The sequence below is a fragment of the Homo sapiens genome, chromosome 6, assembly GCF_000001405.40.
Source record: "Homo sapiens chromosome 6, GRCh38.p14 Primary Assembly".
Classification (NCBI taxonomy): Eukaryota; Metazoa; Chordata; class Mammalia; order Primates; family Hominidae; genus Homo; species Homo sapiens.
This window is the reverse complement of record NC_000006.12, coordinates 83,173,711-83,185,757: the sequence shown is the minus strand read 5'-3', so window position 1 is coordinate 83,185,757 and position 12,047 is coordinate 83,173,711. Positions and strand designations below refer to the sequence as shown.

Here is a 12,047-nt window from a genome sequence, read left to right as displayed (position 1 = left end):
GAGATGGAGTCTCACTTTGTCGCCAGGCTGGAGTGCAGAGGCTCGATCTTGGCTCACTGCAACTTCTGACTCCCTGGTTCAAGCGATTCTCCTGCCTCAGCCTCCCGAGTAGCTGGGATTACAGGCACATGCCACCACACCTGGATAATTTTTGTATTAGTAGAGATGGCGTTTCATCATGTTGGCCAGACTGGTCTCAATCTCCTGACCTCGTGATCCGCCTGCCTCGGCCTCCCAAAGTGCTGGGATTACAGGCATGAGCCACTGCGCCCGGCCTCATTCATTTGTTAATTCATCAAACATGTTTTACTACCTGCTGTGTACATCCCTCTAGTAGTCTATTTCTGTTTCACTGTGTATCACAACCCATAGTAAGAAACCCATTATGTGTCATGACATGTCAATGTGTGCTTGTGTGTATAACTGAAATAATAGTTTCAATAAACAATGCTCATCCAGCCTACATGACATGCAGTCATCTGTTTAAAATGCACAAATGCTGGTTGTGTCTCACTAAGTAAATTCCATGGCCCATTGGCAGGCTGTGGCCTGCAGTTTGTAAAGCATTGGTCTGAGTGGTGTCTTCCCTTAGGTGGCCTGCTTCTGTCTCATGTTCACCCTGCCCCAAACTGTATTCTTTCTGTCATCCCCAGAATGGTTGTCTTTTTCAGCATTTTCATTCTGTCGCTAGAACCATCACTCTTCTAGTGTTTTAGTCTAGAAAAAGTTGAGAGTAATTTTTTTAACCTTTCCTTCATTTCTCTCTTCAGCTTAGTGTATTTCAGTAAATGAAAAAAGGTTAATGTAGCTGCAACATAGGGAGAAGAGGGGCTAGGAGAAGAGAGTAGGGAGGTAAGGTGGGACTAATTCATACAAATCTTGGAGGTCATGGCAAGAACTTGGGCTCTATTCCAGATGCAATGGGACTCCATTGAAGGATTTTATGCAAGAGAGTGATATGATCACATTTTCATTTAAGCCAGTCCCTCTGTTTGTCACAGAGAGAAGGGAAAGGAAAGTTGTTAAGAAAGGGAAACAGACCAGCTAGGCCGCTCTTGAAAAATTGGTATTGCATTCAAAGGATTTTGTGATATATGGGGAGAACAGAACTGTGAAGAACACATTCCAGGTTTCTGAGTTGATGAGTTGGATAGATAATGCTTTTCACTGGGTATATATACTAGTCATTTAGTAAATGTTTATTTGGTAATTTTGATATTGGTCACAAAATTATTTTGTTTCTTACTTTAGCATGTCTTTTAGAATAATGGGTTCCTCTAGTAAACACTTCCATTAAACTAATCTAAGCTCTTATTTGTATTTTTTGAGCTTCTCCATCTCCTCCCATCTCATCATTATACCAGAGCTAAGGTTGCCTTCATAAGGTACCATTTCTGTTAAATAACTTCAGGGCTCAAGAATTTAAAGTGACTCCTTTTTGCCTGCAGTCAAATTCTTGTGTTTGAGGTTCAGGTCCAACTGACAGGTGTAGTCACTGAGTATTTACTTATTGGTTACTGGTCCATCTTTGCGATCCATTTTTCTTTGTTTTTTGCTCATGGTGCTTTTCTTATATGTTAGCTATGTTTAACTGTAAGCTGGTTTTCTTTCTTTTTGTTTTTGAAAATTATGGGACGTTTTTGAGGTTTACAATGAAAGTATAGTCCTTTGGTAAAGTTTAGTCTGGCTTCTGCTGGGTACCTGGGGCACTGGCTGGGTTCACTTTAAATTGATTCATGACAGGCCGGGTGTGGTGGCTCATGCCTGTAATCCCAGCATTTTGGGAGTATGAGGTGGGTGGATCATTTGAGGTCAGGAGTTTGAGACCAGTCTGGCCAACATGATGAAACCCTGTCTCTACTAAAAATACAAAAATTAGCCGGGCGTGGTGGTGGGTGCCTGTAATCTCAGCTACTTGGCAGGAGAATCACTTGAGGCTGGGAGGTGGAGGTTGTAGTGAGCTGAGATTGCGCCATTGCACTCCAGCCTGAGCGATACGGTGAAACTCCGTCTCAAAAAAAAAAAATTCATGACAAAGTTCCTTTGGACTCCTGTGGTTATGTATGTTGGGCAGGAAGTCCATGCAAGGGCCTGTGCTTGGTAACAGCTCTTCAAGAATGGGTTTTCCCGTCTTCCCTGCTCAGTGTTAAGATAACTGTCCTGGGAATGGTGACATGGGGTGATTAATTTCTGACTCATCCTCGGACTGAAGATATAGTTCTTTGGGATTTCAACTTCATGAGAGTCTGGTCTTCTACTGGGTTCTGCATCTTAGATCAGCATGGGCTTTTTTTGCTCTGAAAACCGTAGCTCAATTTCTAGTTTAGAGGAATAACTTCAGAACAAAACTGGCTTCCGAACTAGCTTAGATCTTGGAGTTCTTGCCTTCGGGTATGTTTTGGCCTGATAATTCTGTCACTTTTCAGCACTGTAGTTCTTTTTAAAAGGAGGTTTTTGTCTTTTATCTAGCATGTTGGTTGTTTCCAGGAGGATGATTCATCTGAATTATGTAGTTTGCAATGTTACTGGAAACAGAACTCAATTATTACTTGTCTGTATTGCTTTATATTTACATTGTTACCTGTTTATATGTAATGATTGGTTTTTTGGCTTCTTATAGTCATTTATATTTCTTTTTAAGATCATTTTTATGTTTTCTAAGATGTCTGAGATGACACAAAAGGATTTGTCACCCTGAAATTCCTACACATGAATGCATTTAAACTTTTTTCTCTTTGTTAAGAAATGCGGTGAATTGCTTTTTGTATTTCTATGACAGATTATGGCTTGTTAACAACACCCCAGCTGCACTACATGGTGTATTGTCGAAACACGGGTGGCCGATATGGAAAGGCAACTATAGAAGGTTACTACCAGAAACTCTCTAAGGCTTTTGTGGAACTCACCAAACAGGTGAAAAGTTTATTGAACATGGTTAAAGTTAAACAAATGAATAAAGTAACATGGTCTACTGAACAAATTATCTTGTTTGTCATGCCTCCTCTTTCCTTTTCCAAAGATGCTGCATATCTCCTTTTTTGTTTTTCTCTAGGGCTACACAAGGTTCTGGTCTATGTATCCTGCTAACTTACATTGGCGTTTACTTGGCAAATTATGTAGTACATTCTGAGATACTTTGGGGAAGCAAACATGGTGGGGGTCTTGACGATGGTATCATAAGTATTCATTCAGATGAATTTGATCTTAGTTAATGTAGGTGCTGTTGGCTTAATACCTGAGGCATGTACTATTGAGATTTTCTTCTAGGTATATTGGCTTGTTAAATGTAGAGAGATTTGAGAAGTATAATTCGTTTGATCAACAAATATTGAGTATATGTCCTTACCAGGCACAATTAACTAAAAGCCCTTGCTCTCATAGAACTTATAATTTGGGGTGAGGATAGCTGGGAGAGGAGACAATTAGAAAAAAAACAAATCTGCCTGATGATGATGTCACATACTATAAAAAGAATGACATGTCATTACTGCCCATTTGTCTGTGTGCTTATTCTTGCATTTGAATGGCTCCCTTGTAATATTACTTTTAAGAGACCCTGTTAATTGAGACTAAATTCTAATAAAGCTCTATGCTATAAGTTGTTCAATCAGCAAAACTATTCTGTTGTTCCAGGTGTTTTTAAATTTTACTTTAGTGTTTTATAATTTTAAAAATTGAAAAATGAACACAATTATAATTGATAAAATTTAAAAATTAAAATGAGTTAACTAAATATTTACATATGCACATATGTATATATGCTTTATATTTCACATTTATTTTTATAACTTGAAATTTTTCTTCCATGTGTCTTTTTCCTTTGTAGGCTTCTTGCAGTGGAGATGAATACAGATCACTTAAGGTTGACTGTGCAAATGGCATAGGGGCCCTGAAGCTAAGGGAAATGGAACACTACTTCTCACAGGGCCTGTCAGTTCAGCTGTTTAATGATGGGTCCAAGGGCAAACTCAATCATTTATGTGGAGCTGACTTTGTGAAAAGTCATCAGAAACCTCCACAGGGTATGTCGTACTAGCACTGCAAAAATTTGTTTTTAATGCTCTTTGAAGCCAATCTCACTTATAAACTAAGGTGGTAAAGTGAGTTAAGAATCTTGCAGCTATTCCTGGCTCTGCCACATTTAGACATTGAGAAGTCTTCCCACTCTCAGAGCCATTGAAACATGGTCTGCTCTCTCTGCCTGTAAATCACACCATTCCTCATAGTCTACAGGAAATCAGGTGGGGAAAGCAAAGTCAGGAAATGGCATTCTAGAGCAGTGGTTCTCAAACTGGCATGTGTCAGAATCACTTTGAGGGCTTGTTAGCACACAGATTCCTGGGCTCCACTTCTGAGTTTCTGGAGGTCTGGCATAGGATTTGCATATGATAGAAATTTGCATTTCTATCAAGTTTGCAGGCTTTGTTCCCAGTGCTTGTCTGGGGATCCCTTTTTGAGAATCACAGATCTACAGGGGAGCATAGTAAGTATTATTAGATACCTTATCTGAATTAAATACACTATGGAAAGCAAATGTAACTCTGCTTATACAGTTGTTAGCAATCAGTGTTTTCCACTCAGTGCAGAATAGGAGGAAGACTTTTCTTCAGATTTTAGTTGTAGTAAGAGGTGTTCTGGATTTATCTGCATTATAGACCCTAAATTATTTGCTTAGGCCAAACCTGACTTGCAGATATGTTTTGTTTGGCTGGCTGCATTTGTGTGTTTGTCTGTGTGCCACTGTTTAAAAATTCCGTGACTTCTCTTATATATTGGAATCTCTAGCATCTCTTTACCAAAATCAGAAAATGTTCACACATGGCATTAGTCCACTACAGTCAGATAGATGCTGCTCCCCTAAAATAGGACATGCATTCTGGAACTCTACAGACTTCATCCAGTTGCCTCATTCATTCATGTTATTATGCTTTACTTAGTAAGCATTTAAAATGTCAGTGTAGTCAACCAATTTGAGCTCCTTTTCATTGAATTGCTTGTTTTGACATTTACTTGACAGTTCAGTTCTGCCACTTATTTATCCATTTCTTAAATACTGAGCTCTTACTCTCTATGCTCTAGGCTTTGGGACTACAGTATGAACAAAACCATAGTCCTTGCTTTCCTGAAGCTTGCATCATGTCCTTTCATCAATCTTATGATCCCATTCCTGACAAAAGCCTTTTACTTCTTAGTTGTCTCATGTTGAATTTGTCACTCTGCTGCTGTCATGGCTAAGGAATAGCCAAATTTTCTAATAAATTTGATGTGACAATTGCTGAGATTTCAGCAACTTTATGTAAATTTCACAGGCCAGTTATCTCTCAAAGTTATAATTCTTTGCTCTTAATTATCAGTGTTTCTTTTTATTGGTGGTATGAACAAATAAAAATCATTTCTGTTAGAATTAAAGCACATACATCATCTAGTGCTGATTATTTTTTCTATGTAAAGGAGATCACGGTCCTAGGTAAATTACATTCAGAAATACATGTAGCTTTCAAAAAACCTTTATGGGACACCTGTCTAGCCAAACCAACCTGCTTATAAAGTGGAATTTTATGGTAGTATTATAGCAAATATCAGCATAGATTTTGAATGCTCCTTTTTTCACTTTGCAGTGAAAGAATTTGACCTGTAAAAACCACTAATAAACTATGTACTATTTAAAGATTATACACTATTTAAGATTAAGACATTGATTTTTAGGTGGATAATTTTAAGAGAAAATTCTAAAACTCTTTATAATAAATTCTTAGACTGAAATGCATGTTAAATTATCCTGTGTGCTAGGAATGGAAATTAAGTCCAATGAAAGATGCTGTTCTTTTGATGGAGATGCAGACAGAATTGTTTATTACTACCATGATGCAGATGGCCACTTTCATCTCATAGATGGAGACAAGATAGCAACGTTAATTAGCAGTTTCCTTAAAGAGCTCCTGGTGGAGGTATGGTGGGGGGATTGGCTACCCTCTAAAACAAGACTTAGTAGTGAAATAGTTCCATATTTTACAATCATTTGTCAGAAGGGCACAATTTATGACAAATTCTTTACATTAGTGGGCAGAAAATTAAAAAAAGAGCAGTGGTAATACCCAGTCATTTGAACATTTGAGGCATTGGCTTTGGAACCTGAAGGTACTCTTTTCCTCCTTATACTGGCTGAGTTTTGTGATTTGAAGCTTTAGGAAGTTTTGCTTCCATCATAATTGAAACTTTGATGACAGTTCTGTGGTCACTCCATAAAAGCCCTAAATTCTAATAGGAAATCTCATCATCTGATATATTAACTGATTATGATAAGCTTAGTAATGTGAGATTTGTTTCATTTTGCTATTTTAGAAATAAATCTCAGGCTAGCTTTAAGTACACAATGTAATTGGAAATTATTATAATCTGGAAACAGCATACTTTAAGAATTTAATAGATTTTTTTTTTTTTTTTTTTTGAGACAGTGTTGCTCTGTTGCCCAGGCTGGAGTGCAGGGGCGTGATCTCGGCTCATTGCAACCTCTGCCTCCCTGGGCTCAAGCAATTCTTCTGCCTCAGCCTCCCAAGTAGCTGGGATTACAGATGCATGCCACCACACCTGGCTAATTTTTGTACTTTTAGTAGAGATGGGGTTTCACCATGTTGGCCAGGCTGGTCTCGAACTTTTGACCTCAGGTGATCCACCCACCTTGGCCTCCCAGAGTGCTGGGATTACAGGCGTGAGCCACCGTGCCTGGCCAGATACTTTTATTTAAAAAATTAAAGAGGTGAAGATCAGGAGATACAGGCTTCTTAAAAGAGGAATTCTCATAGAATTGTTTTAAATAGTGTTCAAATGTATTTTAGGCTTTTTTCCTGGCATACATGTAAATTTTCAGTCAGACATTTTTGGCATAAACTAAGGCACAACTGAACTGGCTGATAATTTTGGTAGCCTTTAGAACTCTCATTATATTTGTTTTTGTAGACCATACTTTTGATGGCAAGTTAAGTATCATTGTTTTTGTCTAGATTGGAGAAAGTTTGAATATTGGTGTTGTACAAACTGCATATGCAAATGGAAGTTCAACACGGTATCTTGAAGAAGTTATGAAGGTATTGAACCATTTTTGTTTTCTGGTAGTTTCTTAATTAAGATCATGTTTCTGTGAGAAAGATACTGCCCTCATAAAAGTGATTATGTTGTAGTGCATGAAGCTGAGCTGCTGTTCATGTAAAGGTAAAGAGAAATAAATAAGAAAAAATTTAGTTGTCCTTGATGAATAAAGGAAAACTTCTTTCCTTCCTTTTCTTGGAGTTTTCCTTTAGAAAACTTGGAATTCTTTCTCTGTGCCTTTGTAATGAATGTAAGTCTTTCTAAAGGCCTAATAAGCCAGTTTTATAGCTCAGGAATACTTTTCTTTAAGGGCCTAGAGTCACCAATTTCAAATATAAACATCAAGGAAGATAGCTCACCTATCTCCCAGTCTCAGGAGAGTTTAACTTAGGTGTTTGCGTCCAATTTGTAACTATCTACCTGTCACAGAGGTATGAAAAGTTTTATTACTCCTTTAGAGAAGGGCAGTTAACACAGGTGGCCATCCCTATTACCAAGTAAGTTTAGGATAAACTATGTGTGTGACAAATGGTGGTTTCAAGTTTTCCTATTTGAGGACTAGTGTTAAAGAAAAAATAATTCATGACACTTGTTAAAATGGTAAGGCAGACTTGATTCAGGACTGTTGTGATAGGTACAGGGACTAATGTGATGGAGTTTTGCAGTGGTAGGAGAAAGATTGGGCTCAACTCCAAATATAGTAAGGAAAAGTAGGGCTTTATAGCCAAGGAGCAGGGTGTGTGGGGGGTGGTCAGTGGATGAAAAATTACTGAGAGGAAACATGAGGGTAAGTGGGTGGTATTTTGGCTAAACTGATCTAACAGGACTTTTGCTGAAGGTAGGCCAGGGCGGTCACATATTACCTGGGGGATGGTAGAGAATGAGAACTCAGATCAGATGTCAAGAGTGGTCATGTATCAGGATGAGGGATTCTCGCTAAGCTCACTTAGCATGACTCTTATTAAAATCGGGCTATTGGAAGACATGCCTAAGGACAAGGCCTAGTCAGGCCCACCTAAACCTAACTAAAGTTTGGTCAAGGAGAGAATTTTTGTCATTAGCCATCTTTTATCTTAGCAAATTGTATTGGAATGTGTCCGCTTGGCTATATTAAAGGGTGAGCGTTTATCTTTGCTATCTCTTAGCAAATTAGCCTGTGATTGAACATCAGTTTGGCTTAATACTTATTCAGTAATAAAACTGTTTCTTACCCTTCTTTTTTTTTTGGAGAGGTTTTCTGGGGTGGTGGGAGATTCTGTTTCTAATTATTTCCCCGGTGTCCACCAGGTGACCACCCTTGGCACCACACTACTTGCTCGGAGAGTTACCAGGGTTCATGGACAAAACTGGAAGTCTGTTTGCCTATACTTTCTCATTATCGAGAAGTTTTCCAACTTTTTTGTACCTCATTTTGTACCTCGTTCTGGCATTTATACTAGTTTTAGTTACCTTTCCATTCTCTAGAAAGCAGGAATTACAAAGTCAGATTCCTGCAGGATTTGGACAGGTAAAGTGAATGAGGGCAGCAGGGGGCTAAAAACAGGTCAGTATGTGCCAGCTGATGTCAACTGTAGTCACACTCTTCAAGAGAAGCAGGAAATCTGAATTTTCATGTGATGTTCCTATTTGTTTAAAAAGAAACAGTGGCTGGGCAAAACGAAATATATCTTGAGGCTGCTAGTTTATGACCTGATTTTAATATATGGTTATAATAAGCTCATTCAAGGGATTCCATCTGGGGCCCATTTGCCTGCCTTTCACAGGGATTGGGTTATTTCACAGTACTTGGGTTATTGTTTTAGGATTTTCATTTTCTGTCTTAAAAATTTATTACAGATAAAATAACCTAGTTTAAGAAACTGTTACTTCTCAACTCACTGTCTTCCAGATGAAATATTTTTAGCCCTTGCCATTCCTGAGGTCTCCTACATCCAATCTAATGCTGATCTTTCTTTTGCAGTTTTTCTACTATCAATCTTTCCTTAACCATTCTTAAAGCTCTCTCAGATCCATCCATCCATGACTTTCCCTATTCACTATTGCTGATCCAGCCACTATTTCTTACTGGGATTAGTCCTAGAAGCCTCCTCATTCCATTTCTTAACCTTCTAATTGAACTTGCTGCTATTTGCAAACAAAGTTTTATTGGAATAGAGCTATGTTGATTTGTTTATGTATGGTCTGTGGCTGCTTTTGCACTGTAATGGCAGAGTAATTGTGACAGAGACCATATGGCCTGCAAAGCCTAAAATATTTACTGTCTGGCCTGTTACAGAAAAAGCTTGCAATTCTGCTCTAAGCTATTCTCCACACTGTAGCTAAACAGCTTTCTAAAACAGTTAGGTCATGTCACGCCCCCACTTGTAATCTTTCGTGTCTTATAAGGAGACCCTCATCTCTCTCACCGTGCTTTACCCTTGGCTGCGTGCTTCCAGAGTGTGTTCATGCTTCCATTGTATACGTACCATTTTGTATTTTAATGCTTAATCGTCTTCCTCACTGGACTCGGCCCCAGTATTTTGTTCCCCTTTGTATCTCTGGGATACTAGGTATGCAAGAAACATTTGACATCTGAGTAATTGCTGTATTTCTTTAAATGCATGTGTTATAGGTACCTGTCTATTGCACTAAGACTGGTGTAAAACATTTGCACCACAAGGCTCAAGAGTTTGACATTGGAGTTTATTTTGAAGCAAATGGGCATGGCACTGTAAGTTCTCTTAATTATAGTTGGCCTTAGCTGGCACTTTTCTTTATGATGAGACTTCTATATCTGGGAGGTAATAATAGGTAATATTGTACTTTGTTGAAATAATTGGATGTGACAAAAAGATCCTTTGGTTATCTTATATATTGATGTATTATGAAACTGTGATTCTCTTTTACATGGTAATGATTCTTCTTTGAATGTGAAGAGATATACTAAGGTGTTTTGAATAGTTTTTTAAAATTTACAGTTCTTAATTTTTTTATAAGTATGTTGTCTATGCATTTTCCGGCTGGCCATAGGAGAGGAAAAGAAAAATTCAGTCGCTATGGTGAATTGCAAAGTGTTGGAAAGTTGATAATTAATAAGAAATGAAAATGAATTTAAGGTAACTAGTGATAGGCATAAAATGTTTCAATTTACATTTTACATAAAATTACATTTTAAAGTGTATAATTTAGTTTTTTGTAGATTCATAATGTTCAGAATATTTTTAAAATGTTTTTATACTCACCTCATTTAATGAATACACTTGAGGTGGCTATCAGAACATTTGAATCAAAGCCAAATAATTTTCCTCATTAATTTAAAATTGGCTTTTGGAGGGCATAAATATAAAAAGGGGAAAAATAAGTTCCTACAAAATGCAATTAAGATATAACTTTAGTGATCGAATGGAGAAGTTGGTAAATTATTTTCTAAAGGGTAGAGAGTAAATATTTTTGGATTTTCAGGCCATAAGGTCTCTTACAGTTGTTTAACTCTGCTGATCTAGCTTAAATGAATCTGTGTGGTTGTGTTCCAGTAAAACTTTACAAAAACAGGTGACTAGCCTGTGCCTTATTTTATCAAGAAAAATGTATTTCATCAAGTAGTTGAGCATAGTATGCTAATCTTGCTCAGTATTAGGCCTCTAGAAGGCAGTAAAAAAGATGAGTATTTCCAAATGAGATAAGACTCTTGAGGAGCATGATGAATTATATATTGTAATGACTATCCATGACATTATTTGCCATATTTTGATGAATACTATGAACTCTTAATTTTGCCTAGCTCATCCCCTTAAGTTTTAGAATAAAACTATACTAGCTGCAATGAATTATATCCTTCAAAGTAAAAAGGATACAGACAGGCTCTAAGTAACCTGGTTGCACAGAAATGATTTAGCTGGTTAAAGGGAAAACATGAACTTACTGTGTGTGCTTGCCTCTTGTCAAGGTGGTGTTTTCTTTGTAATCAGATGTTTAAATTTTTATAACCAGTTATATAATCCGCAAATAAAATTTTTCCCCTAGTACTATCCTCTGGGTTTTAATGTGATCTTACATTAATTTCATACATTTTAAGGCTGCCACTATTTTTCCCCTCAGTTTCTCCAGATTGACTAGGAGGGAAAAGTGGGTTAGCTAGAATAATAGTACTTATGACTAGGTTTTGGATAGTGTTTTGAGACTGATTTTATATTCTTTTGCTGCAGGCACTGTTTAGTACAGCTGTTGAAATGAAGATAAAACAATCAGCAGAACAACTGGAAGATAAGAAAAGAAAAGCTGCTAAGATGCTTGAAAACATTATTGACTTGTTTAACCAGGTCAGAACTGATGGGGCAGTGGACTCTTGGTTACCTTTACATTATTCAGAAGATGGACAGAACAGAGTGTGGGTGCATACAAAATTAAAGTGGAGACGTCCTGGCCTGGTGGCTTCCTTCTAATAGTGGTATATTCAGTTGAGATTTATAATGAAATGGAATGACAGAACATTTTTTAATATGCTTCCCTTCCCCTACCTCTTATGATGGAAATTTTCAAGTATATTGGGTAGCTTCTACCTAGGATCACAGATTCAGCTACTCAGTGTATACATATATATTATTAATTTTTTTTTAACCAAACCTCGATGAAATTAAGTAAAAATAACTGGTTGTCAGGCCAGGCACGGTGGCTCATGCCTGTAATCCCAGCCCTTTGGGAGGCCAAGGAGGGCGGATCACGAGGTCAGGAGATCGAGACCCTCCTGGCTAACAGGGTGAAACCTCGTCTCTACTAAAAATACAAAAAATTAGCCGGGCATGGTGGCGGGCACCTGTAGTCCCAGCTACTCGGGAGGCTGAGGCAGGAGCATGGTGTGAACCCGGGAGGCAGAGCTTGCAGTGAGCCAAGATCACGCCACTGCACTCCAGCCTGGGTGACAGAGCGAGACTCTGTCTCAAAAACAAACACAAATAACTGGTTGTCTCATTGACAAAGGACAT

At 37.9% G+C, this 12,047-nt stretch overlaps 1 protein-coding gene across 17 annotated transcripts in view; it reads left to right on the top strand.

Annotated features, from left to right (window-relative positions):
• Nucleotides 1-12,047, top strand: part of PGM3 (phosphoglucomutase 3) — a 45,196-nt gene that overhangs the window by 8,143 nt on the left and 25,006 nt on the right. For all 17 annotated transcript variants that reach the window (XR_007059270.1, XR_007059271.1, XR_007059272.1 and 14 more), the window contains 6 exons: nucleotides 2,780-2,913; nucleotides 3,827-4,022; nucleotides 5,791-5,948; nucleotides 7,002-7,085; nucleotides 9,698-9,796; nucleotides 11,271-11,384. Coding sequence is in view for 10 of the 17 variants with exons in the window: in XM_047418877.1 (XP_047274833.1) it covers nucleotides 2,780-2,913; nucleotides 3,827-4,022; nucleotides 5,791-5,948; nucleotides 7,002-7,085; nucleotides 9,698-9,796; nucleotides 11,271-11,384 (785 nt within the window). In the remaining 7 variants the exon portion in view is untranslated. The remainder of the gene's footprint in view (nucleotides 1-2,779; nucleotides 2,914-3,826; nucleotides 4,023-5,790; nucleotides 5,949-7,001; nucleotides 7,086-9,697; nucleotides 9,797-11,270; nucleotides 11,385-12,047) is intronic.